Source organism: Homo sapiens, chromosome 9 (genome assembly GCF_000001405.40).
Source record: "Homo sapiens chromosome 9, GRCh38.p14 Primary Assembly".
Classification (NCBI taxonomy): Eukaryota; Metazoa; Chordata; class Mammalia; order Primates; family Hominidae; genus Homo; species Homo sapiens.
Genome location: NC_000009.12, coordinates 131,790,484 through 131,817,714, shown reverse-complemented (window position 1 = coordinate 131,817,714; position 27,231 = coordinate 131,790,484). Strand labels below are relative to the sequence as shown.

At 53.1% G+C, this 27,231-nt stretch overlaps 6 annotated features.

The window, feature by feature from the left end:
• Positions 344-845: an enhancer, noted in NCBI's record as "H3K4me1 hESC enhancer chr9:134692257-134692758 (GRCh37/hg19 assembly coordinates)". NCBI's record gives its function as "activates a minimal SCP1, AML or CMV promoter by ChIP-STARR-seq in naive H9 embryonic stem cells {active_cell/tissue: H9 hESC(naive)}" and the evidence as "EXISTENCE:reporter gene assay evidence [ECO:0000049][PMID:30033119]".
• Positions 3,525-4,025: an enhancer, noted in NCBI's record as "H3K4me1 hESC enhancer chr9:134689077-134689577 (GRCh37/hg19 assembly coordinates)". NCBI's record gives its function as "activates a minimal SCP1, AML or CMV promoter by ChIP-STARR-seq in naive H9 embryonic stem cells {active_cell/tissue: H9 hESC(naive)}" and the evidence as "EXISTENCE:reporter gene assay evidence [ECO:0000049][PMID:30033119]".
• Positions 9,400-10,335: an enhancer, noted in NCBI's record as "OCT4-NANOG-H3K27ac-H3K4me1 hESC enhancer chr9:134682767-134683702 (GRCh37/hg19 assembly coordinates)". NCBI's record gives its function as "activates a minimal SCP1, AML or CMV promoter by ChIP-STARR-seq in primed H9 embryonic stem cells {active_cell/tissue: H9 hESC(primed)}" and the evidence as "EXISTENCE:reporter gene assay evidence [ECO:0000049][PMID:30033119]".
• Positions 12,204-12,703: an enhancer, noted in NCBI's record as "H3K4me1 hESC enhancer chr9:134680399-134680898 (GRCh37/hg19 assembly coordinates)". NCBI's record gives its function as "activates a minimal SCP1, AML or CMV promoter by ChIP-STARR-seq in naive H9 embryonic stem cells {active_cell/tissue: H9 hESC(naive)}" and the evidence as "EXISTENCE:reporter gene assay evidence [ECO:0000049][PMID:30033119]".
• Positions 18,203-18,393: a silencer, noted in NCBI's record as "fragment chr9:134674709-134674899 (GRCh37/hg19 assembly coordinates)". NCBI's record gives its function as "represses an EF-1alpha promoter that drives an FKBP-Casp9 reporter gene in an ReSE screen in HepG2 liver carcinoma cells {active_cell/tissue: HepG2}" and the evidence as "EXISTENCE:reporter gene assay evidence [ECO:0000049][PMID:32094911]".
• Positions 23,186-23,690: an enhancer, noted in NCBI's record as "H3K4me1 hESC enhancer chr9:134669412-134669916 (GRCh37/hg19 assembly coordinates)". NCBI's record gives its function as "activates a minimal SCP1, AML or CMV promoter by ChIP-STARR-seq in primed H9 embryonic stem cells {active_cell/tissue: H9 hESC(primed)}" and the evidence as "EXISTENCE:reporter gene assay evidence [ECO:0000049][PMID:30033119]".

Here is a 27,231-nt window from a genome sequence, read left to right as displayed (position 1 = left end):
TCCCAGCACTTTGGGAGGTGGAGGTGGGTGGATCACCAAGGTCAGGAGTTCAAGACCAGACTGGCCAAGATGGTGAAATCCCATCTCTAGTAAAAATACAAAAATTAGCCGGGCGTGGTGGTGCACGCCTGTAATCCCAGCTACTCAGGTGGCTGAGGCAGGAGAATTGCTGGAACCCGGGAGACAGAGGTTGCAGTGAGCCGAGATGGCACCCCTGCACTCCACTCTAGCCTGGGTGACAGAGCGAGACTCCATCGCAAAAAATAAATAAATGAATAAGGGTTCTGACAATTCAGAAATCTAAAACCTCCTGGGGAAAGCTGGCTCTCACCCTGGCTCAGGGTCCAGTTCCAAGACCAGCAGAGGGAAGCCACTGGGAAGCCCTGCCCAGCCCATGCCCCTCCAGGGAGAGAGGGCCTCTCCAGGCTCTCTGCTGACACAGGCTGGCACTGCAGGCTCTGCACAGCAAAGTCGGGCAGCCCAACCCATTGCTGATGGGACTTTAGAAGCCAGCTGCACAAATCTCAGCTCTGCCTCTTACTGGCTGTGTGACCCTGGCAAGTTATATAACCTCTCTGGACCTCCACTCCCTTATCTGCAGCATAGGCCTAAGCCCCCATTGATGGGGTTGTCGTGGACATTAACTGGAATATTCACAAAGCATCACTCAGCACCGAGCCTCGCACAGCCCTCGGCACACGGCACCTAGCACTCTGACTGTCATTACCATCGCTCTCCTTTCTCACTCTTTAGTTCATTTCTGCTTCTAGATTTCACCACTCTGGATGAAGTCTGTGAACTCACCATTCCTCAAACCTGTACGATAATGTCCAATATCCAACAGAAGTAGCAAAGTGACTTCTGAGATGAAGTCTTTATAACCCACGTGGTCAACACAACTAACTAGTACCCAGGTGCAATGTTGTGTTCACCATCTGTTCCCTTCTTTCTGCAACTCACATGCAGTATGCGCTTACTATTGCAACAACCTGGGCTGCAACCACGGAGAGTAGATGAGAAGCGCCTCCGCAGGTTTCACAGGGGAAAATTTATTACTGCAACTTCAAGCTACAGAACGAGCCCGAGCTTGCGGTTTGGGAGCCAGCGGCAGCTGGAGCTTGCGTTTCACTTGGCTCTTAGGAAAATGATACAGTAGATTCCAAATGCCCCCCAAACCCCCGCCTCTGGATTCAGAGCCCAGGGGAATTCTTCCAGGTTAATACAGACCAGCTCCAAAAGACATTCTCCAGAAAGGTTTACTAAAAACCCCAGCTTCCTCCCTCCAGTGGCTCAGTCTAAGACCTAGAGTGCAGAGAGGCTTGAGCACCTGGGGCATCACCACTAATGCCCAGCAGACAATGTCGACTCAGGTTTCCAGAGGCTGTCACAGTCACCAGGTCTCTCTTTGAATCCCCCAGACCCACAGCTCTGGGGTAAATGGGTCTGTGAGGCCCCTGGAGGGAAATAAATGGACTTCTCAACTGCTGGGGCAGGAAAGCGTCAATCAGCTCCAGGCCAGCAGGGTATCATGCAGGATGGCAACGTGTAGCAGGCAGTCTGCCACTCCCCTGCCCACGCCCTTGGCAGGCATTGCTAATCCATCCCCGTGCTCATTCCCATCGATCCCCAGCATGGCTTCTGAATCCTTCTTAGCCCACGGCAGCGAGAATGACTGATGGGAGTGAGTCAGGGAAATATTTAGGGTAGAAGGAGGACCAGATTTAGAATCAGGAACCTGGGCTGTAGCTCCATATCAGCCCCTGGTTCCTCGTGATATCTCCAGGTGATTGTTGAACTCAAAACCCCTGTTTTCTGATCTGTAGAATGGGGATGAATGTAGGAGAGAGACTGGTTATTAAATTGGGCTCAAGTGCTCTCCCCTCTCAGGGGCACAGGTAGCCTTTGACAAGCACCAGCTCCTGCTACAGCCGCGAGACCCCGGGCCATTTCCGAGCCTCTCAGCCTCCCATTCCATGACCAAACAGTGGGAACAGTAAGTGATCTCAAAGATGCGGTCAGAACGCAGGGAGGGCATGCACAGAATGCACTTAGCCTTGTCCCTGGCCTGCAAGAAGTGCTCGAAAAATGCTATGCAATGTTGCTGTTTTCTTTCTTTTTTCTTTTTTTTTTTTTTTTTGAGATGGAGTCTTGCTCTGTTGCTCAGGCTGGAGTGCAGTGGTGCGATCTCGGCTCACTGCAACCTCTGCCTCCCAGGTTCAAGCGATTCTCCTGCCTCAGCCTTCTGAGTAGCTGGGACTACATGCACGTGCCAACACGCCCAGCTAATTTTTGTATTTTCAGTAGAGATAGGGTTTCACCATGTTGGCCAGGCTGGTCTCGAACTCTTGACCTCAAGTGATTACCCGCCTCAGCCTCCCAAAGTTCTGGGATTACAGGCGTGAGCCACCATGGCTGACCCGCATTGCCGTTTTCTAACTGTAGCCTACTGAAGAGCCATCTCATGTCATTGATGCTGCTGAATCAGCCAAAGAGAAAGATTCAAAGCTTCTTCCCACCCTCTGCCCACCCTTCCCTGTCCTCAGTACAGCTGACTCATGCAGAGGAAGGGCTGGTCCCTTGGTGGATGCTGACTGGGAACTTGGGAAGCTACCTGGATGCTGCTAGGAACTTAGAACTGGATGGTTCTGAGTTCACGGTGCTGAGTGGGTCGCCGTGAAGGGCTTGCTGTTCCATGGATGTGAACTGACCCCTTCCCCTGTGTCTCCACAGGATCCCATGGCAACCGCCTGAGGGGCGACTGGGCCCCAGAGGGATAAAGGGTGCTCAGTGGGGGTGAGGGTAATCCAGGAAGGCTTCCTGGAGGAAGAGGGGTGAGCTCCACCTGGGATGGGATCACCTAATTACTTTTGGGTACTTGGTCACCTAATTACTTTTCCCACCAGGATGGCAGCAAACCCCATGGGAAAATGGTATCCAGGGAGGGGAGAGGAAGCCCGGAGCTTTCATGGGGAGAGCTTGTTCCCTGGCTATGATGGAGTGTGATGGGGACACAGCCACCCCCCTCCCTCACTCATGCCTTGGCCAGGGCAGGGGTCTCCCCCACCTTCCTGCCTGCCTCTTCCACATCACTGGGGCTTTCTTGCCTTTCTGCTTCCTGTGGGCAGGAGAGCTGGGGACAGAGATGCTTTCTTGCCCAGTTCTGTCTCAGAGTCCCACTCCAGCCTGGCGCTCTCAGCTGTCTTGGCGGAGCCCTGCTCCCCTTATTGGGGTCTGGCAGCAGGGGGGTCCCTCCTCCCAGGTATCAACCCAGGTGGCCCCACTGCCCCCAGTTCAGGAACCTGGGGAACCAGGCAACCCATTCAGTCTGTGCTTGGGGGGCCTGGACCGGCTTCCCAGCACCCTCCACCTAACAGCACTAAGAAGCTACCTCTGGGGAAGTGCCAGGAGCGCCCACACTGAGCGGCAGGGTGGCCAGGGTCACTTCCCCTGCGGGCAGGTCGGCCAGGGTCACTTCCCCTGCGGGCAGGTCCAGGAAACCCTACCCTCCCATGGCCTTGAGACGCTGCATGTCCAAAGGCCTCCCACTCACAGCCCTCTCCACTTCCAGCCCCATCCCTGATGCTGTGGCCTGGGCTTCTCTGTTCTCACTGGCCAGGCCCTCGAGAGCGCCAGGCAGCCCAGAGAGACAGCAGCTTCACTTATGAACAAACAGAGGTTCTGGGACACAGTGGTCTTGCTGGGGTCCCTCGGCCTCACGGGGCCTCCCTCCCCAAGCTGGAAGCCCACCCAGCCACCAACACAGCTAGCCAGTCCAAGGCCAAACATGAGGTGTGCTCTCAAAGAAATCAGGTTGTTAGCATTCTGGAAATGTCTGCACCTCCCCAAGCCTTGAGCTGCGTTCCCTCAGCTGTGCTGCTGGGGAGGAGGGTTTGGGGCTGATGAATTGGCCAAACACACTGCCAACTGTCAGTGATGAAAAGAAAAACAACAGCAGGGCTGGGTGCGGTGTCTCACGCCTGTAATCCCAGCACTTTGGGAGGCCAAGGCGGGCAGATCACCTCAGGTCAGGAGTTCAAGACCAGCCTGGCTAACATGGTGAAACCCCGTCTCTACTAAAAATACAAAAACTAGCTGGGTATGATGGCACACATCTGTAATCCTAACTATTCAGGAGGCTGAGGTAGGACAATGGCTCGAACCTGGGAGGCGGAGGTTGCGGTGAGCTGAGGTCTTGCCACTGCACTCCAGCCTGGGTGACAGAGTGAGACTCCGTCTCAAACAACGGCAGGACCTGTGACGCCCTGAACTCTTGCCATGGGTCAGCCCTGTGCTGCAGGAAGAGCCCACGTAATCCCCAGCACACCCCTGGGAGGTGGGAATTACCACTGATTATTACCCACATGTTACAGACCAGGAAGCTCAGAGAGGTCAGGAGACCCAGCCAAGGTCACACCGCTAGGCAGTGGAGAAGCTGGGACTGAACGCCTCATCGCATGGTCTGGCTACCTCCTCCTGCCACCTCATCCTTTGTCAGAGGCCAGTGACTCACGGGCAGAGCAGCCCCAGCCTCAAAATCTCAATGCCTGAAATATCACCATCATTGCCTGATATCTTTGGCCGAAGCCTACTCTTTAATGAATACCGCCTCCCACTGGGGAGAACCCACTGTGTGCCTCAACTCTTCTGTGGGAAGGAGTTTGAAATCCGTTCCCAAAACTAGGGAGAGACTTCTGCTTCTACAATGGAGGGGACAGAGCACTTCAGGGGAAAAGCAGCTGGTACAGGGAACAGAGAAGGGAACTAGCGTTATTAAGGACTTATTTTGTGCCAGGCAATTTTATAAACATCTTCTCGTTGCATCCAGCAGGAATTCTTATCTCCACTTTACAGATGAGGGTTGGGGAAACTGAGTCTCCAGTGCTGTGAGCCACTGGACACAGTGCGGCTGGTTAACGTGCAGCTGGGTATCTTATCGGGGTCTGATGAGGGGAAAAGGGCAGTCTTGCGGAAGCTCAGGGCAGGTGCCGGCAGCCCGGGCACAGGGAGGGCTTGACGTCCTGTGGGGACTCCAGTCCTCCTCGTTCTTCCTGAAGGCTGTACTGGCTGTGGACAGAGAGTGGCCAGAGGGGAGCAGAGGCAGCTCCTCGCAGAGGTCACCAGGCTGGAGCGGAGCCGCTGCTGCCAACCGTGCCTGCAGCCCGTGGCCCGAACGCCTTCCAGGTCTCTGCAGGGCCTCACCCGCCCTGCCAGCTCCGGGCAGCTGCTGCTTTGGGGCAGCCAGGGAAAATTCCTCACCTGACCCCTAGCCAGAGATGAGAGGTGTCCAGGCCTCAGAACCGCTGCCCTGCCTCCCCCACCACCGGCCACTAAGCACCCCCTGTGCCAGGATCTGTGCCAAGGGCTCTGTGTGCTGTGTCATCTCAGCGACTCCTCCCCCTGCCCTGTCCAAGGAATAGGTGACAACACCTGCTCGGAGAGCTAACTCAGCTTTCTCAAGGTCCCCGCTAAGCCAGCCAATGGCGCCAGAGTGAAAATGTGAATTCAGGCTGGGTCTGGAAACCCTCTCTAAACTGCTGAATTCCAAGTCAGGGACTCTGGCCTCGTGAGAAGCAGTCGCCTTTTCCATGCCAGTGTCCTGAACTTTTCGGGGTCACTCTCAGGTGAGAACAGTTTCGTGGGAGCCTCTATGAGCCAAGCCTTGTGCTGGGCTCAGGGTAAAACAGTGACAAAGGGGGACGACATCCCTGTTCCAGTGGGTCCTACAGTCAGGTGGGGCAGACGAGGCATGAATCAAGCAATCTTAGAGAGACCGGGTGGCATTCAAGGCTCAAAGCTCGCCCTGAGGGAAAGGGGTGAGCATTGGTGACAACCCAGGATGAAGCAGCGTGGACCGGCCCCGGGGTCAGGGAGGGCTGGGGTTGACATCCGATCCCCAGGGTGTCCATAGAGAGAGGCCAGCAGCTGAGGTAAGGGAGGAGAGAGCACTGTGCAGAAAGGACTGTGAGTGCAAAGGCCCTCGGGGTTGGAGGCAGAGCACGGAGGGCTCCGGGAACCAGGTCAGAGTGGCTCCAGACAGGGAGGCATGAGATGAGGCTATGATGGAACGTGGTGAGGATGGCGGGCCTGATCCTAAAAACATTGGAATTTATTGGCAATTGGCCAGGCGCAGTGGCTCATGCCTGTAATCTCGGCACTTTGGAGGCCAAGGCGGGCGGATCACCTGAGGTCAGGAGTTCGAGACCATCCTGGCCAACATGGTGAAACCCTATCTCTACTAAAAAATACAAAAACATTAGCTGGGCATGGTGGCAGGAGACTGTAATCCCCGCTACTTGGGAGTCTGAGGCAGGAGAATCGCTTGAACCTGAGAGCCAGAGGTTGCAGTGAGCTGAGATTGTGCCACTGCACTCCAGCCTGGGCAACAGAGCAGGACTCCATCTCAAAAAAAAAAAAAAGAAAAAAGAAAAACAGAATTTATGGGCTATTGCATGTGGGGAGGCGTTGACATGATAAGCACATTCATTAATAGCTACATGTTCTGCCCAGTGCTTCTCCTGCACTAAATGGCCCCAAAATGCACGGTCCCATACCCACCTCCTTTTTTGTTTTGTTCTGTTTTGTTTTGTTTTAGAGATGAATATTCACTATGTTGCCCGCCTCAGCCTCCCAAAATGCTAGGATTACCAGTGTGAGCCACTACATCCAGCCCTCATTTATTTTGTTGACAGCTGTTGTCTCTTTGCTACCAAGGGTCCACCCCTAACAGGAGCAGGTGCCTGCTCAAGAGCTCGTCTGCTCTGCTGCGGGCTGGCTGCAGACACCTTCGTTTCTCCTCATAGCTGTAACAGTCCTGTCTGAGCAAAGTGCACAGGTTTTACAGCAACTCTTCCCACCCTACCCTCAAGGGATTTTGCTTACTCTTTTGCTGCATCTGGCCTCTGGGTGGCACTTGCCCTGCTGAGCCTCACGCTGTCACCCCTCTCCTAGGAGAAGCAGGTGATGGCCCAGGAAGCCTAATCCCAGTGACACACAGGCCACCCACCCTCCGTCCTGCCCACACCTCCGGCAGCTCCAGCTCATTCAGCCTCAGGGAATCCCGGGGCCTTGTCCCATGCAACCGGCCAGCTGTGGTGTGAGCGAGGGACTGAAAGCCCGTATGTGACCAGCTCTGGTGATGAGATCCCCCTGCCCCCGCCTGGCACATGTTCATTCATTCCAGGTACGGTCAGCACTGAGTCCTCGAGGGCCTGGAGCACCGCGGGGGAGACATCCCGGTCAAGCTGAGTTTCCCCGACGCCTGGCCAAGCACTGAGACCCAGAGTGCGGTGGGCTCCAGCGATGAACAGCCTGGGGAACGACGTCTTTGCTCTGTGTAGCTGGGCTCCATCTCCTTGCAGCTTGCCACCTCCTGGTCCTAATTCAAGCCATCCCGGCTCCTTGGCTGCAGGATTCCAGACTCCTTCTCAGGCACGACCCAGAAGGGCAGCCAAGAGGCCTCTGTTCCACCGAGGGAAAACAGAGCTCTCACCAAACCAGTCAAGCAGATTCCCACTAAGCTAGTTTGGGTTTTTTAATTGGCTAGAGGCCTAGAATCCAACTGGCAGGGATGGAGCAGACAGATGGGATCCTATATGAAGCTCCTGACTCATTCAACTTAGAAAGGGAAGAAAACCTTATTAGTCAGTTTCAAAGGGCTGCGACTTCGCAGGAAGGCTTCTCTGGCCCAGCCAGCTGGGACTGCCTCGCCCCCCTGGCTCGCACCGCCTGGCTCTGCCTGGCCCTGCCAGAGGCTGCTATATCCTGGGCATTGCAGCAGGGTACCCTCCAACCCCATTCCTATACCCGAGAACTGCTGCTTCCTGGGTCCTGAGGTTTCCTGTGTGCCCACCAGCAGGCTGGACCAGATCAAAGGGTGTCCCACGGCCATCCTCACGGGGCCACCCATGGCCTGAGCTCAAAGTGACCTTGCCCAGGAGGCTACTGGTGTCATGGAGCTCCACCTCCCCAGGATTTCAGCATGTGGCTGGGGACATGGACATCTGCTCAGCCCAGTGGGTACAGTTTGTCTCTTGTTGACCAAAGGATGCTCACCAGACCTTATCTCCTTCCCAACCCCTTTGTGGGTCCCCCACTGCCATCCACGGGCCCATCGCTCCCCTCACTGTAGCCAGGTGGAGAATCTCCCTTCAGAGTTGCTGGAGGGGTTGCCTAGGCTTGACTTCATCCATCGTTGTCATCCTCTAAAAGCCCTGGCCAAGGGATCTCAGCCCACAGGGCTGAGCCAGGCACCCTGTCAAGGGGCGCTGCGCAGGGCCCCAGAGCACCTTGAGTCCAAAATCCATCAACTCACCCAACATCTCTTGCACACCTGCCATGTCCCTGACACTGTGCAGGCACCAGCAGTGGTGCTGGGATGAATGAGGCGTCTCCGATGTGGTGATAGAGCTTATAATATCCTTTATATTTGTTTTCAAATAACATGCTTTCAGGAGGCCAATAAGCAAACCATAATATGGCAGCATGAAAACATCAAACGTTAGTCTTCCTTTTCCCTTTTCTTTGTGCCTACTATGTGCTGTGCACATAGATTATCTCAAAGCGTTTAGCAATCCTTCTAGGATAGTTATTGTCATCCTATTTCAGAGAGGAGGAAAATCAGGCTCAGAGAGGTGGTGAGCTTGCAGAAGGTGACAAAGCTGCTAAGTGACTGAACCAGATTCAAACATGACCCTAAAGCTTGTGTTCAAGGTGTGCCCCCGCTCCAGGCCCCAGCCACAGGATCTGCACAGGGTGGGGTTCTGAGGACAGAGAATGAATGAGCCCCACGCAGGAGCTCCCACCTGCAGCGACCTCACCGTCCCAGCAGGCGTGGCTGGGAGATTCAGCTGGACCCGGCGCTCTGGGGTCATCCACCCGACCCCTCGCAGAGCAGTGGCATTGCTGGGTTTTGCTTTAGGAAAAAACTAGACCTTTTGCAGCCACCAAGCAAATAGAACTGTGGCTCCCTTTCAGTGTTTAGAGCTAGTTTTACGTACTCTTGACAGTTTCAAAATAGTTTTCCCCTGGAAATGGGGAGGGAGGGGGAGATATGCACTCTAACCCCTGGTGCTTGTGCTGGGCCACAGATACAGATACAGCAGGTTCCCCGCCCTCAGCGACTCAAAGGGGAGACAATCATTCAACAAAAAAATCCCAAGTCCTGCAGCGAGTGGCCTAGGGAGGAGCTATGAGAGCCCAAGAGAGGACCTGGACCTCCTGACACACCCAGCAGCTGGCTGCTTCTCCCTGTGGGAAACCAGAGTGAATGTGCTTTGAAAGCAAGAGTCTCCCAGAGAAGCTGGGTGCGGTGGCTCACGCCTGTAATGCCAGCGGTTTGGGAGGCTGAGGCGGGAGGATCACTTGAGCCCAGGAGTTTGAGACCAGCCTGGGAAACTTGGCAAGAGCCAGTCTCTACAAAAAACTTAAAAATTAGATGGTGTGGTGGCACACGCCTGCAGTCCCAGCTACGCAGGAGGCTGAGGCAGGAGGATCACCTAAGCCCAGAAGATTGAGGCTGCAGTGAGCCGTGTTCACTCCATTTCACTCCAGCCTGGGCAATAAAGCAAGACCCTGTCTCTTTAAAAAAAAAAAAAAAAAAAAGTCTCCGAGAAGGAGAGGAAAGCTCGGCTTAAAGGCGCTTCAAGTCCAAGGTGTGCGGAGGAGCTGGGAGGGTTGGGAAAAGATGGTGCAGGTTTGGGGAGGTAAGGCTGCACAACTCTCTTCTCACTTAGAAAGCGTTGCATTCAACCTCCCCATTCAGAAGAAAGGAAGATAGTCCACTGATCCCCTTGGAAGGTCCAGGGCCCTAGGGGTCCCCTATTGGCCCAGGGCTGACAGCCAGACCAGGCCAGGCCAGCCCCTCCTCTCGCCGAGTTCCCATTTCCTGTTGAGCTGTTGGAGCCATTCAGGTCAGCGCAGGCTGGAGGCCAAGCAGAGGGGTCACCGCTAACTATATGCTAATGACAGCAGGGACCAATCAATCTTCCCTTAATCAGGCAATCAATGTGCACTGCAGGTGTGTCAAATCCTGGCCTGCAACTGAGGGAGGGGGAGTATAGGGGGAGCCAGGGGCGTGGAGGAGAAGAAGGGAGGAGAGGAGCAGAGAAAGGGAAGAGAGGTTGCCCAGGTCCCCACCCCCGCCCCCACCCCCAGCTAGTCACGGCCAAGCTCCCAGCCCCACCCTCCCCTCCATCCCAGAGGGAGCCGGCTGCAAATTGAAATCACTGCTCCGGGAAAGAACCAAGGGGAAAAGAGAAGGAATTAAAAAAACCAGCGTCTTTTTAATCAACGCTCAGAGCTGCAGCCGCTAATGAATTCAAGGTACTCGGGAACCCCAGGGCAAGGCTGGGTGGAAGGAAGCCAGAAGCCTCCTCCCCCACCGGCGCTCTCCTCCAGGCTCCCTCTTAGAGCAGGGAGGTGGGGGAGGCGGGGAGGGGACCTATGGAAACCTTCAGACTGGAGGGACCTCCAGGTGTGCTGGCTCGACCCCTCCCTTTAGAGGTGAGCTCCAGGGCCCTGCAGGGGAAGGGTCGCCAAAGGTCACAGCCAGGAGAGGGGCTTTTACTCTGGGCACCTCTCCCCCTCAGGCTACTCTGCTCTCTCTCGGCCTAGAGGCTGCACTTAAAAAGGTATAAGCTTGTGGAATGAATGGCTTGCATAAAGAAAAAAGACCAAAAAATTTTATTTAAAACAGGTATAGGCAGGTCCCATCATCCCAGTCTCCTCTCTGAACAGCCCTCTTCTCTGCACCAGCTGGAGTTATTTTTTGCACACCTACTGTGTGCCAGGCTTCAGATACAATAGCACACTGAATTGTCCCAGCTGCCCTCACAGGACCCAGCTGCTGTCATCATCCTCATTTTGCAGATGAGAAAGCCGAGGCTCCAACAGCGTTACAGAATATGCCAACAGTTTAGCCAAGTTAGGGTGGGGGCAGGGGCACATGGACTCTGGACCTCCAAATCCTCTTCCCAAGAGCCCCACAGTGGTCCTGGCCAGAGGCTAGGTCTCCCCACAGTGCTGGGAGGTGCCCTGGCTCCTCAGCCCCTCCTCACCACCCCACTGCCTTTTCCCCTTCATGCATTCGCTTTGGCTTCAGATCTTATTTAACCGAGGAGTTCCTTCGCTCTCCAAGTGAGAAGCTACCAGCTTATGGCAGTTGTGACTTAGTCCATGTTTGTTCCCTGGAAGCAAGTTCCTGGTGTCTCTGGGCTCAGCAGGAGATGTGTGGCATGACACCCATGACACCAGCCCCTCGCTTCCTCACAGGCCTGTCCTAGGCCTCACTTAACCCTCTCAACAGATGGGAACACGGAGACCCAGAGGGGTTCATTGACCTGCCCAAGGTCACCTAGCAAACCAGTGGCACCATGAGCGCTTGAGCTCTCGTGACTCTGCTCCAGTCGGTGGTAGCATAGCCCCTGCGTGCCGCCGTGTCCTGCAAATCTGAGAATCCCTTCCTCTTCCACCTGTTCTTTTTGACACCTCTGGAGCTGCCAGATCGGGAGGCAAAATGAAAAGTGGGTCTGAGAAGGAACAGGATAAATAATGCTGCTTCGGGAATGCATGGCCTGGGAAACACATTCCCAGAACAGCTCATTTCAAACATTCTGCTGTTGAGAGCTTCGTGTAGCGGAAACTGCAGGCAAACGCTGAGGTTCAAGGCCACACCCACCAAGGGGAAAGCGTGTGTCTGGCTTGCATCTCCATCGTGCCTGCCTGGCTCCCTCTGTCATGATCTGCCCATTCTCTCCCACCGCAGGTACACACATGTGCACATGCATGCATGCACACACACACAACACTGCAGCCTTGCCAAGCCCCAGGAACCCAGGCTGGGGCTGACCTCAGCCCTAAACCTCCAGGTTTCAGAAGCAACCGCACTGAGGGTGGCTCAAGTCAAAGGAGGTGGGCTTGTAAAGGCGAAACAGCTCCTGGCATAAGGGCAGGAAAGACCCCAAGTGTATCTAGGGCCTTGAGAGGTTGACTAGGAAGCACTCACTGTATGTTGATCGAGATGGCAGCCACTAGCCACTTTGAATTGAAACTAAGTCCAGCCAGGCGCAGTGGCTCACGCCTGTAATCCCAACACTTTGGGAGGCTGAGGCGGGTGGATCTCTTGAGGTCAGGAGTTCAAGGCCAGCCTGACCAACATGATGAAACTCTGTCTCTACTAAAAATACAAAAATTTGTCAGGCAGGTGCCTGTAATCCCAGCTAGTGAGGAGGCTGAGGCAGGAGAATCGATTGAACCTGGGAGGCAGAGGTTGCAGTGAGCTGAAATCACGCCACTGCACTCCAGCCTAGGCAACAAAGGGAGACTCCGTCTCAAAAAACAAAACTAAGTCCAATTTAAATTTATTTCAAGTAAATAAAGTTTACTGTCCAGTTCCTCTGTGGTACTAGTTACATTTCAAGTACTCAGTAGCCACGTGTCATAAACCAAGACCGAGCCTAAGAGAGCTCACCCCCACCTGGCCGCCGGTGCAAATGTAGAACGTTCCACTGGGCAGAGAAAGTTCCACTGGGCAGCCTGTATCCTGGAGACCAGGATGTTCCTCTCCATGGGGCGACTTCCCTCATCTAACAGCTGGATTCTTCTCTTTGCTCCTCTGGCATGTGGCCCAGCATGGCCCCTGGCTCCAGGGCTGCCTTGCACCCTCTGAGCTCCCCCTCCCCCTCAATTCCTCTTGGTCGAAATCTCAAGAGAGAAACCAGTGCAGGTGAGCACCAGGTGCAGGTGGCTGTGCCAGGTGTCAGGGCCATGCCTGGGAAGCTAGGGCTGCAGGCAGGGGGGTTTCCTGGGGAGGGACATGGCTCCAGGGCCCAGAACATGGAGAATAAGAGTAAGAGAGAAATGGCACTGTGCATGTAAATGGCACTCTAGAGTGGGGGCATCCCTTGCTGCTGAAGATCTTGCTATTACCAGCAACTCTAGGATATAGGCACTCTTGATCACATTTCACAGATAAGAAAACTGAAGCTTGGGGAGGGAGAGTTAAGTAACTTATCTAGGATTGCACAGCCATTAATCAACAAACTCTCAAGCTCAAGTTTCCTAAAATGGTTGGTCTGAGAGCAAGGCTGCCTCACCAGAACCACCAGACTGGCACCAGCCTGGGCTTCCCAGGGGCTTCCTGTTCCTGGCTCTGGTCTTCTTATTGCTTTATCCTCCTATGAGGAGAGAAGGACCCCTACCACTCTGTCAAAGTGACCTCACCCAGATGGCAGTCACCCTGGTGGCAGATAGGCCACCAGGTCCGAGCGACTATGGGATGTCCAACTGGTTCTTGCATGAGCCCTAGCCTGGAGACAAGTCAGCTTCCTAGGTGTGCAGGGCACAGAGAGGATGAAGATGAATAGGAAGCCATGTTTCTGCTCATCCCAGAGTCAGAGCTCCTTGGGCAGTGTGTATCCAGGGTAGACTGACTGCTAAAACAATCAGCTCCCAAATCTCAGTGCGTCAGCACAGTAAAAGCTTCCTTCTTGCTGTGTCACTGTCCAGCGCAGGCTCTTGGGAAGGAGCCCGTACTCCACACAGTCATCCAGGGCCCCAGGCTCCTTACCATCCTGGGTGGTGGCTCCACCATCCCCCAGGGCAGGAGTCAACAAGCTTTCTCCCTAAAGGACCAGATGGGAAATATCTTAGGCTTCTCAGGCCACTCAGTGACAACTAATGATTTCTACCATTGTGGTGCAAAAGCAGCCATAAACAACCTAGAAATGAATGGGCATGACTGTGTTCCAATAAAGCTTTATTTACAAATACAGGCAGAGAGTTGGATTTGGCCTGTAAGCCTCAGTTTTCTGACCCCTGTCCTAGAGCCTTGGAGTTCCTCTCTGGACCCTGTGCATCTGATGAGAAGACCGGGAAAGAGAGAGCTATGGGAGATTATGCAGGAGGTTTGGTGGGGGAACAGGCCTGAAAGTGGCATAGATCCCTTCCACCCACATCCCACTGGCCAGAACTCAGTGATGTGGCCTCATCTCACTGCCAAGGAAGATGGGAAATGTAGTTCTTTGTGTGCACAAGGATCTGAGTGGTCACCTGCTCCCTCCTCCTACCTCTGGTCCATACGACAATCACTCCCAGATAGGAAGCTTCCCCCCTCATTCTTTGGAAGTTTTGACAGTGAGAATGCTCTCCCAGTATGCTCCTGGAGCTATTCCTCTCACCCAAATATCGAGTTCTGGGAGGGCTAAGAAGCCCCATAGTGGACAAAGAATGGCTCCATCCAAGGCCTTCTAGGGGAAACCATTAGCCTCCAGAAGGTAGGATGGAACAATTGCTGGAATCAGCCACCTTGATCTCAAGAACAACTCACTGTGTGGTCAGCTCATTCATTCAGCAGTTATTATACTGGGGATATAACAGTGAAAAAGACCTACCTGAACCTTGCTCTCATTCACCCAAAGACCTCTGTTCTTTTTAAGTTAGCTCCCGATGTAGCCCTTGCTATGAACTAGGAGCTGAGCCAAGGACTTTATGCCATTCTCCTTTATCCCCCAACAGCCCCAGGAGGAAAGTCCATGGTAGACTTTAAAAATGGAACTGATGCTTCATCCCTCCTTGTATTCACTTCTTTGCCGTGTGAATTTGTAGTTTCCTTGCACTCTCACTCTGGAATCCTCCAAGAGGCTTCCATTGTCCAATGGGATGTTAGAAACTAATACAAGCAAAGGCTCAAAAATCATGTATGTAATGGGGCTGGCTCTCATTCTTGCACCTCTGTCATCGCCAGGATAATACACCCAGGCTAACCTGATGGAAGATGAAAGAGACATGGAGCAGAACCAAGTCACCCGAGTCATCCCAGCCAACAGCTGGCTGACTCTCAAACGTGGGAGTGAGCCGAGCCAATGCCTACAAAGCTATAAGACCCGTGATCCTTCTCCCCTAGCTGACTGCAGATGCATGAGAAGCAAATGCTTACTGTTGCAGGCCACTAGAATTTGGGGTTGTTTGTTATGCAGCATTATTGTAGCAACAGATAACTAATATGCTCTTGTTCTCTCCCTTTTGAAGATGGAAAAGCTGAGCCTGAGAGATGTTAATTAATTTGCTCAAGGTCTTACAGTTGGCAAATGGTAGAGCCTGGATATGCCCCTGTATCTCTCTAGCCACTGTACTCTCCACTAGAGCACAAGTTTCATGAGGGCTGCTGTCCCCCTGGGTTAGTGTGTTGGAAATTTAATCCCCAATGCAACAGTGTTGAGAGGTGGGGCCTTTAAGAGGTGATTAGGTCATAGGGGCTCTTCCACTCTTTGTCTTGCATGTGCCCTCCTGCCCTTCCACCTATGGGATGACATGACACAGCAAGAAGGCCTTCACCAGATGCAGCCCCTTGACCTTGGATTGCCCAGTCTCCAGACTGTAAAAAAGAAACCTCTGCTTTTTATGAACTACCCAGTCTCCAGTATTCTGGTATATCAGCAAAAAATGGAATAAGACAAGGGCCAAAGTTTTTGTCTAAAGACTTGACAACTGCTTAACTCCACTCAACTATGATGGTGTCTGGCATTCAGCAGGTGTCAATATTTGTTGAGTGGGTGAAAGGATCTTGCTTTTGAGTTGCAGTGACTGAGAGGTCCTTCTTTCTCGCAGGAAGCACATGGGGACGTTGACTCTTCCCTCACAGCAGGGAGAAGAGGAAGCCACTACACCAGAGATCAAAATTCTCTCCAGCAACAGGAGCCTGGAATCAAGGCAGACGCTGGGGGCGCATTTCCACTCAATCATGCCCTTTGTTCTCTAGCAGACCGGGGGAAACCGCGGCAGAATCAAAGCACAAGGAGAGAAAGTTTCTTTTAAAATCACTGGGCTTTTTGACACGATGACAGCCCCTCTGGGAAAGATGTAGGGAAGAGGATGCAGGGTGGAGCTCAGGAGGGTGGGAGGGGGGGGTCTCAGAGCAGAGGGGCTGCTACTTGGTACAGGCCAAGATGAGACCAGTTGAAACCAAGAAGCTGCCCAGAGGGACCTCTCTGGGGACTGGAGGGGGAAAGAACTTGACCAGGCCTTTCATAAATCTTTCTTCCCATCCCTGTTCATCCCAATCTTGCAATTCCAAGAGCTCCCCAGAAAGCCCCTGCTCTGCCCAGCATTAGCGTTGAGTGCTGTTCAGAGGAGTGAACATTGTCTCACTGGCTGGAGTTTTATACACACACACACATGCACGCACACACACAGATCCAGGGGAAAATTGATTTTCACTTATTTTCCCCACCATGCACCCATGTTCCAGCAACCTTGTGATTATATCATGCTTCTACCCTTGTTCCTTGTCAGCATTGATATATTTCCAATTGAGAAGGAATGCAGAAATGTATAGGCATGCATGTGCACCCCTCACCCCCCTACACACGCACACATGTACACACATACACACACACACACACACACATACACAGAAACCCATCCTGTGGGTCAGTTTGGCTTCCTGGGCAATCTGATGTTATCCAACCACCTGACAAAGCAAAGCAGCCAAGAGGTAAGAGGTGTCTAAGATTCACTGTCTCCTGAAAATTCCAGAGCCCCAGCCCCACATGTTCCTCATGTCTCTGCAGGAGTCTGAGCGGTGTTCTGGACACTCCAGGGTCTTTCTAAAAGCATAGAAGCTGGTGCCATCTATTGGCTGGGCCCCCAGGATGGGGCTGAGCCACAGAGCCCTTTTCTAATTCTCTCTCTAAAAGCTTCTATCACAGACTGACTGTGCCAGTGTGTGTTTTATTTATGACTGTCTAATCCAGTACTCATCATAACGCAGGGTGCACAGCAGGCAGTGGGTGTCAATAAGTGTTTGTAGAAATTAATGTAATTTGTAAGTAATGAGAATGTTCTTAGAGGCAGAAAAATAATGCAGTGCTCTCTGCTCTGTACTGATTTTAAAAAAAAAAATCTTCCTATCCCCAATTCTTCTAGCGCTGGTTCTTTAGGCGTACAGCCTCAACATAAGTAAACAGCAGAGCGGGACTGGTTTCAGAATGTGTGTTGCCATTATGGGTCACTGCTATGAATCAGATGGACTGCTGGTTAAGAACTAGACCCTGAGGTCAGGCAGACCTTTGCTTGAACCCTAGCCCTCATGCATGTATGGCTTTAGGCAAGTTACCTCGTCCCTCTGAGCCTCCTATTATAATGGTGGTAATCATAGGATCTGCTTTCACAGAGTTACCATGGGTTTTCAGTGAGATAAAGCACAGGAAGTGCAGCACAGCCCCAACACAGCCTTAGTGCTCATTCACAGTGGCTGATGCCACTGCTGCTGATGTTGATATTCATGCAGAATTCAGGCTTGGCTCTGCTGGAAGGAGGTAAAAGAAGCAAGAACTGGGTCCCCTGAGAGCTCACAACTGAGTGGGGAGAAAGAGAGCACTTATGGAGAATATCTTGAAAAGCAGCGCTTGCTAAACTTGGCTCCAAGTTCAGTAGGTGGTCAGAGGAGCAAGAAGGCAGAGTGGGCTGAAGTGGTCAAGGGAGGCTTCCTGGAAGAGGAGAATCTGGAGACAGGCTCTAAAGGATGGGTCAGATGAGATGATGGAAAGTAGGAAGGGCAAAAGGCCTGGAGCTGGAAGGAGCAGTGGGCAGTGACCTGCAGAGAGGTTCCAGACAAGAGGAATGAGGGTGGGTGCACATCACAAATTTGGAGACACAAGATTGATTTGACTTTTGCCATAATGATGGCATTGGGGCCAGGTGCAGTGGCTCATACCTGTAATCTCAGCATCTTGAGAGGCCAAGGCAGGAGGACTGCTTGAGCCCAGGGGTTCATGACTAGCCAGGAAAACATAAGGAGACCCCATCTCTACAAAAAAAAAATTAGCTGGGCATGATGGTACATGCCTGTGCCCCAGCTACACAGGAGGCTGAGGCAGAGGGATCACATGAGCCTAGGAAGTTGAGGCTACAGTGAGCGGTGATCGTGCCACTGCACTCCAGCCTGAGTGAGAGCAAGAGTCTGTCAAAAAAAAAAAAATAGAATGAGTTAACAAATTGTGGTAGTTATGTATAGTTCATGTGATGGAATACTACACAGCAATGAAAAAAGGATGGCATTCGGAGCATGTTGGTGGGAGAGATGCCGATGTTTCCCTCATGAGGGAATTAGTGTTTGGTGACTGCAATAATGTGAAAACAAAAGTGCTTCCTCCAGTCTGGCAGTGATTGTCTGACGAATAACCTTTTGTGCAGGCCTCACCTCTCACTCTCTGCCTCCCTTTCCACTGCTTCTTTCCTTTCTGGACTCAGAATTCCTGAAGGAGTGGGACAGGCTTCCGCTGAGCACAGGCACTGAAAGGACAGCTGCCCTCACCAGTGGTTGTGCTTCAGCACCACGGACAGCTCCCCAGACACTCGCCACACCCTTAGGCTCAAAGTGCCAGTGACTTCCAGGGCCCCATAAAAGCACCTGCTAACCCACCCCCAGGAGCTGGCTGCTGCTCTCCCACCATGCCCACTCTCCAACCTCCTATGACTTTTTTTGTATCTTTTACTTCTCAAAGCTGAATTCTGTGTTCTAAGACATCAGCTGATACACTTGTCTCATTCATTTCAGTTTGTTGAGGATCCCGTCTGTGCCAGGCACCATGTTTATCCACTCATGGAAGTGGGCTATAGAGGACCTCTCTGGTTGCCACTAAAATCCATTGTGTCCAAGGTCTCCTGGACCCCCTGGGTGCCTTTGCCAGAGAAGTGACTCCGAAGAAGTGAAGGTAGGCACCTGGGGAGCCAGTCAGTGGGCAGCTGCACTATCCCAGTGCCCCCAACTCACTCGTTATTGCTAAAATAGCTGCTGTTGAGGGCACAGGGATGTTGCAGCAGCCACGGAAGCAGGCTGTGATGTAATGATTGCACTGAAACTACACACCCCCCTGCAAGGCGGTGCTGTGGCTATCAACACTTGACAAGTCAGCCCAGAGGGATGAGGCCACATTCCTCAAGCCACACAGCTGAGAAGACACAGAGCAGGACTGCCTGTGTTTCTGACTCCAGACCCCTCACTCCTTTTTCCCCTCCCTCTCTCTAGGCTCAACCACAGAGGGTCCTATTAAATTGAATTGCCATTTTCATGGGTCAGCAAATGGCTGAATATCAGAAGTGTCATGCGCCTCCACCTAGTATTTTCTCCACTGAGAGCATCTCTTCCCTTGCCAGGAATGTGCTACTTCCCACGGCTTCCAGGCCACTGGGTCTGGGCAGGGGTGACCTTCTCCACCCTGGGCAGGCTGGGAAGAGCTTCTCCTCTAGGGGAACTGCCTGCCCAGAGGTGGCCCCACTGAAGCAGCCCAGACTGTGACCCTTGCAGCAGCTAATGAACACAGGTCACAAAGAGAAAAGCAGCTTTGTGAAATAATCCTTGCTCTGGGAGGCTGCCTGGCGAGAGCTGGCGGCTTCATCAGAATGTTTATGGAGGGGAATTAATCAGGAAACTCGGTGGAGTCGCCTGTGGTGGGGAAGACTGAGGAAGGCGGCGGAGCTTGGGAGGGAGGGTGTTCCATCTGAGTAATCAATGCTGGAAATTATTCTGTGAATATCAATGGTCTAAACATGGCGTCAAGGCTGGAGGGCACCAGAAAACAAGAAAGGGCAGACTGATTGAGTCCTGCATGGCCCAATAACTGCCCAGCCTCTGCAGCTGCAAAGAAGGAAGGCTGTTGCCCTTCATTCACTCACCCACTCATTGATTCTTCCTTTCAATCAGGAGCCAGGCAGGCCCTCCAATAGGCAGGAACTTTGCTGGTTGCTGGGACCAGTGCAGTAGTCACAAGACAGACATGACCCTGCCTTCCTGGACTAGATTGCAAAGACATTTAGAATCAAACTCAGGGATTTTGAGCCTTTTTATAACTTTCCAAGTTCCTCTACCCTCTCTGACCTCTGTGCATAATCATTATTGTTTATTGAGCCTTACTGAGAGCCAGGCATGGTGCCATTCTCTCAGTAAATCCTGACAATCCATGTTTGGAGTAGACATCATTATTCTGAAGTTACAAATGTGGAATAAGGCTCAGAGAGGTCAAGGAACTTGCCCAAGGTCCCTGAGTTAGCCAGTGGCCATATGGATCTCAAACCCAGGTCAGTCTGAGTGCAGAGCCTACTCTCTTAGCCACTCTGACATACTGTTTCTCAAACGGAGTGCAACTTGTATATGCTTTGACCCGACTCTCCAATTGCCCTGGCTTCCCCATCCTCCCCACTTCCAGCTCACAGCCCTAATGCCTGTTCCTCTTGATTCTCCTTAATCCCTCATGCCTCTTATTCGCTTTGCGGCTGGAGGATAATTAGGCAAAATGAAACTATTTAAGGAAAACTGGAGTTCTTTGCAGACACTGAGAGGAAACCTCTGAAGGCTAAGCTTGTGGGAGTGACTCCAGCTGACGGCACCTCGTCCTTGGCATCTCAGGGCTCCTACCCATGCCTTCCCTATACTGTCCTGAGAATTGGCCCTAAGTTTCAGATCCATGCTACGGGCAGGGAACACAGTGCAAGGGGACAGGAAGAGTGCTGAGGATGTGATGTGGTCACACCGTGTCCTTCAGAGAGGCCCTTGGTCTCCTCTGAGTCTTTTTCTTTTTTTGAGAGAGAGTCTCACCCTTTCGCCCAGGCTGTAGTACAGTGGTGCGATCTTGGCTCACTGCAACCTCCACCTCCTGGATTCAAGCAATTCTCCTGCCTGAGCCTCCCGAGTAGCTGGGACTACAAATGCATGCCACCACGCCTGGTTAATTTTTGTATTTTTAGTAGAGGCGGGGTTTCATCATGTTGACCAGGCTGATCTCAAACTCCTGACCTCAGGTAATCTGCTCATCTCAGCTTCCCAAAGTGCTGAGATTACAGGTGTGAACCACCCACCGTGCCTGGCCTCCTCTGAGTCTTGTTCTCCCCAGTTGTTAACACAGGCACTAAGCTGGCTGACCTGTAAGCCCCTTCCAGTTCTGGCTGTCGGTGGGGGGCCTCCTGGCTGCTCTTCACTGTGGGACCAAAAGCTACAGCCTCGGTGGGGTGGCCCTGGGTGTGTCCTTTCCCCCTTGCTCCCACCAGTCTTCCCAAGGGCCCAACAGTCCCATCAGTCACTCGGCAGTAGTTGCAAGGCACCTGCCCTGGCTGGACATCATGGATGCAGCAGGGCCATGACCCAATCCAGTTGGGTCAGGCCTGTTGGAGGTGGGGTCTGGTGGGAGGCGACTGGATCATGAGAGCAGTTTCTAATGGTTTAGCACTATCCGCTGGGTGCTGTTCTCATGATATGGAGTTCTCAAGACACTGGGGTTTTTTTATGAAAAAAAAAAAAAAGATTTAATTGGCTTACAGTTCTGCGGGCTATACAGGAAGCATAGCAGCATGTGCTTCTAGGGAGGCCTCAGGAAGCTTCCAATCATAGAGAGGAAGGTGAAGGGGGAGCAGGCGTCTCACATGGCAGAGTGGGAGCGAGAGAGAAAGGGAGGGTGCCACGTTTTTAAACAAGAGATCTGGTTGTTTAAAAGTGTGTTGGGCCAGCCACGGTGGCTCACACCTGTAATCCCAGCACTTTGGGAAGCTGAGGCAGGCAGATCACTTGAGGTCAGGAGTTCGAGACCAGCCTGGCCAACATAGTAAAACAAAAATTAGCCGGGCATGGTGGCATGTGCCTGTAATCCCAGCTACTGGGGAAGCTGAGGCAGGAAAATCACTTGAACCCAGGAGGCGGAGGTTGCAGTGAGCCAAGATCGCACCACTGCACTCCAGCCTGGGCAACAGAGTGAGACTCCATCTAAAAAAAAAAAAAAAGCGTGTTGCACCTCCCCTTCTCTCTCTTCCTCCTGCTCAGGCCATCTAAAATCTGCCTACTTCCCCTTCACCTTCTGCCTTGATTGTAAGTTTCCTGAGGTCTCCCCAGCCACGCTTCCTGTACAGCCTGTGGAACTGTGAGCCAATTAAACCTCTTTTCTTTATAAATTACAGTCTCAAGTATTTCTTAATAGCAGTGCAAGAATAGCCTAGGACAGTGACTTTATTTGGAATAAGGGTCTTTGCAGATGTCATTAAGGTAAGGCTCTGAAGATGAGATCATCCTGGATTGGAGTGGACCCTAAACCCGACGATAGTGTCCTTTTAAGAGACTAAAAAGAAAACAGATGCATGGAGAAAAGAATTGTGTGAAGACAGGTAGAGATTGGAGCCATGCAGCCAAAAGCCAAGCAAGACTAGGGATTGCCTGAAGCCAGGAGAGGCACGAAATAGATTCTCTCTGAGCCTCCAGAGGGACCCAACCCTCCCAACACCTTGATTTTGAACTCTGGGCCTCCAGAACTGTGAGAGGATAAATTTCCATTGTTTTAAGCAACCGCTTTGTGGTCATTTGTTACAGCAGCCACGGGAAACTAACACAATGTCCAAGGCCCTGTCCTGGTCTGAGGCATCAGGGACAGCACCCTAGAGGAAGCGACATTTGATCAGAAGCCTGAAAGCTAAAGGAGGTATATGAGTTAGCAGCAGAGAGCATTCCAGGCTGAGGAAATAGCAGGTGCAAGGGCCCCAAGGCAGGAAATAGGTTCTGAAGGAAGGAAAGACCCAGAGGACTGGCACATTGGGGAGGGAGGAGGTAATGCCAGATGCTTCTTGAGAGGTGGGCAGAGGAAGACCCCCTTCCCCAGAGGAGTCTGTACTTTCTGCTGAAAGAATAGGATGCTGCTTCCAGCCTGGAATCAGAGAGGTCAGCCCCGTGGGACCTGAGTCTGGCTGGTCTCTGCCCTTCCCATGCCTGCGGCTCTGGATTAATACTAGCTGATGGACGGATGGGCTTCGTTGTGCTGTGTTCGAGGAGTGCAGTTCACCCTGAGTGTATCTGTGGTGTGCTCACTGCCTCCCAGGACCGTGTGTCACCCCTCCCTGTCTCTGCGTCCATCCTGAGTCCTTTGTCCCATGTCAGACAACCCCTTGCAGTGTACCTGTCTCCTCAACCCCCAATTCCTGTACCCCAAGCTTGTCGTGTTAACAGGAGACTTCCCTTCCCTTTGTCACCCTTCCCTTTGTCATCCTCAGACTGAATTAAAATAGCATTGCCACAGAGCCGTATCCGAGGAATTCCGAGTCCCCGGTGACTTCATTAGCTCCAGCGCCTTGAGTCATTCGAACCACGGTGCTTTCTTGTCCCGTCCCCTCCTCCCTGCAGAGGGGGTCTTATTAGCTGGGAAATATGAACCACTTAGTAGTTGCATTAACTCGGTGCTTCCAACACGTTTCATCTCTGCCTTTCTTCCCGCCCTGCCCTCTCCCGTGTCTCTGCCTCTCTACTCATTAGCCGGAGGTGCCTCCACTCTGGCTTTCTCCCTGGCACTCCATCGCTCTACCCCTTCCCTTCCTCGTCTCTCACATCTGTTTCAGAATCAAAGGATGTGAACACCTTCAACCAGAACCTCCTCCTTTAGGGAATGCTTAATGCCCACGGGCTCGGCCTCCCCCACATGGCATCAGGACCCTGCCCACCTCACCTACACCAGGTGCCCAGAGGTGTCCAGGAGCTTCTGAAGTGGGCATCATGCATGCCCCTACAGCGGTTTCAGCCGCAGCCCCCACATGGCCCCTCACCCTGCTCCCCTTTGCTGTCCTGGCCTCTACCCACAGTCCGGACCTGGGGTACTTCCCTCCGACCCTGGAAGAATGTCAGTGTCCCCACCAATGGGGCCGCTGCCAGGAGCTGCCAGACCCCCGTCCCCCACATTCCCTGGGGATGCCTCCATGGTCATCTGGGCCCAACAGGAGCGTGGCTGGAGTGTGGCCTGCTCCAGAGGCCACCAGCTGACCCTCAGCCACCCCACCTCTCCCTGCCCTCCCTCTGGGGGTCAGCAGCCATCCATGGCCACCTCACACACTCTCATGTGTTCTGGTGTCTCCTGCTCCTACCTCGTAAAAACCTCTCTTTATGCTGGGCATGATGGCTCACACCTGTAATCCCAGCATTCTGGGAGGCCGAGGCAGGCAGATCACTTGAGGCTGGGAGTTCAAGACCAACCTGGGCAACATGTGAGACCTCAAATAAAAAATATTTTAAAATAGGCTGACCGTGATGGCTCACACCTGTAATCCCAGCACTTTGTGAGTCCAAAGTGGGCAGGTCACCAGATGTCAGGAATTCGTGATCACCCTGGCCAACATGTACTAAAATACAAAATTTAGCTGTACATGTTGGTGCATGCCTGTAATCCCAGCTACTTGAGAGGCTGAAGCAGGAAAATTGCTTGAACACGGTTGGCGGAGGTTGCAGTGAACCAAGATCACACCACTGCACTCCAGCCTTGGTGACAGAGTAAGACTCCATCTCAAAAAAAATTTTTTTTAGTAAAAAAATAAAAGAAATTACCCAGGTGTGGTGGTGCATGCCTGTAATCCCAGCTACTTGGGAGGCTGAGGCAGGAGGATCACTTGAGCCTGGGAGGCAGAAGCTGCAGTGAGCCATGATCACACCACTGCACTCCAGCCTGCGTGACGGAACAAGACCCTTTCTCAAAAAACAAAAACAAAAATAAAAAAACCCTCTCTCTCCTCCCAGTTCTCCTGAGAAGGCTGCAGTGGGCATGGCTAGGGTGTCACAGACCCTGCCGTGTGGGGAAGGGGCTACTGTCACAGCAACCAGCATAGCCTGGAAGGACATCAGTGCTCATGCAGAGAGAGAGGGAAAACAGACCAAGACCCAGGTGGGGTCCCGGAGGCTGAAGGGGGTGTCAGGCCGCTGTTGGTCTCAGGGGAGCCTTCCCTGTCACTCCCACTTCTGGGCTCGTGCCTCCAACTGGGTTGAATGTAACCAACTTTCACTGGGCATTCCTTGTGCCAGGCCCTGTGCTAGGCTCTGGGCATTTGGGGGCGAAACGTCGAGAGAGAGATCATAAGTAAACAGTACAAGGGAGGGAGGGGCCGGAGCCTAGTCCTGCAGCCCGACAGCCTCTGTTCTCCAAACACCAAGTGGGCCTCTGTGCTTGGAGCCTGGGGAGAACACTGGGGCACCCTCTCCTTTCCCTCAAGGGGTTCGAGGGTGGCACAGCAGGCACAGACTCCAGGCGTCTGCCACGGTGGCGCTCAGCATGCTGGAAGGTGGGGCTGGGTTGGAGGGGCCTGGGTCAGATTCTTGCCTCTGCGGCTTACAAGCTGCATGACCTTGGGCAGACTGTTTCACTCTCAGGACCTCAGTTTTGGCATTTCTAAAATGGGATGATAGCATGCGCCCCACCGTGTTGCAGTGAGGATAGAATGCAGCCACTCGCCCAGGGCCATGGCTCAGTGCCCGGCACGCAGTAAGCACGCAGCAAGCTCTTGGTGACAGTTACCATCACAGTGGCATTCGTGGGAAGTGGGGATAGGGGCTTGTATGCGGGCAGGAAGGAGGGGAAACTGGCCCTGAGTGGAGTACCATGAAGGAGCTGGCATTTGGACTGGGCTCAGGAGGACCCGGAAGCTTGCATTAAGGAAAAAGCATTTGTGTCCCAGGCCTCTGGACCTGCTGGTCAGCACTATGAACCTGAGCACCGTGGCCTGTGCCCTCCACCGCCGTGCACGCTCACTGAGTTCCTGGTGGGTGCTGGTAGCCAGGGCTGCCAAGCTGCACAAGTCCAAGGGGGGCCATTCACACAGAAGCTGAGGTGGAAGGAGCCCCCGGGGCTCTGTGACGCAGCAGCCCTGCCTCGGCCCGCACTGGCTGGGCACTGAGGACACGGCAACCAGCAGACCAGCCCCTGCACTCATGGAGAGCCAGGACCGTGCGCTGACAGGATGGGAGACCCGTGGCCAGCAAGCCCTACAGCCACAGTGCAGAACCTCCCAGGCCTGGGTCCTTTCCAGGTGTCGAGTGCTCCGGGGCCCCGCAGGCTCCTGCCTCTCCCTGCAGAAATCGCTGCTGGTCCTGCATTGTGGTTGGAAGGTCCCAGCGGATCAGGGAAGTAATGAGCAAGCTTGCCCTCCCCACCGCTTAGCCCACGGCTCTGCCAGGCCAATTAAGCTGCCTGCTGATCACCTGCGCAGGGGAGAGCCCAGCCGGGGTTGGCTGAAGTAAAATGATCTCCGTGCTCCATTGTAGAGAGGAGAGCTGTCGCCCCAAATCCAGCTCACATACTTGTGCCTTCTGGGTCAGGTTTGCTTTGCAGAAACATGGTTCTGCAGCAGAACCTCATGAGGGGTTGCAAACTGCTGCAGAGTGCAAGTATCCATTCATTCATTCTTTCATTCATTCATTCATCCAGCAAATGCTGGTTGAGAGGCCCAGGGTGTCAGGTTCTGCACACAGACAAGGGGGACACAGGCCTTGCGTGGGTCTCACTTCAGTTGGGGAGCTCTGTGAAGGAGCTGGCACAGGGGCTGGGATTTGGAGGGGTCAGGGAGTAAATTGGAGAGGATGCTGGAAGGTGATTCTCCAGGGAGAGAAGAATGCCAGTGGATGGATCCAGAGGGAAGCATGGGGCAGAGGGCACAGCGGCCCTCCTGGCTTCGTGTATTCAGGTGCTAGGCCCACTGTAACACGTTACCTCAAACTGTGTGGCTTAACTCAACCTCCATTTCTTCACTGTTCAGAAGGCCAAAAGTCCTAGGCCAAGGCAGGCGGATCACATGAGGCCAGGAGTTCAAGACCAGCCTTGCCAACATGGCGAAAACCTGTCTCTACTAAAAATACAAAAATCAGCCGGGCATGGTGGCACATGCCTGTAATCCCAGCTACTTGGGAGGCTAACGCGGGAGGATTGCTTGAGCCCCGGAGGTTGCAGTGAGCCAAGATCATGTCAGTGCACTCCAGCCTGGGTGACAGAGTGAGATTCTCTCTCAAAAAAAAAAAAAAAAAAAAAAAAGCCGCAAGTCTAAAATCAAGGCGTTGGCAAGCAGGTTCCTCCTGGAGGCACTGAGGGAGGATCCGTTCCAGCCTCTGCTCTCCAGTGGCTGGGGTGTGTCTCAACTCATGATTGCACCCCTCCCATCTCTAGCTCTGTCTCCCCGCTGCTGTCTTCCCTTAGTGTCTCTGTTTCTTCTTTTTTGTCATCAGGACACCAGCCGTTGGATTCAGGGACCGCTCTAATCCAGTAGAGCTTCATTTTAATTTAACCAATGACACCAGCAAAGACTGTACTTCCAAATAAGGTCATAGCCACAAGGGTGAGGACTTCACTTGGGGTTAGGACTTGAACTTTTCTTTGGGGAGCCACCGCTCAAGCCATGGCACTTTGGTATTCTTGAGTGTGGTCTCAGCCTGAGTCTGGCTGAGACTTGACGCTGATC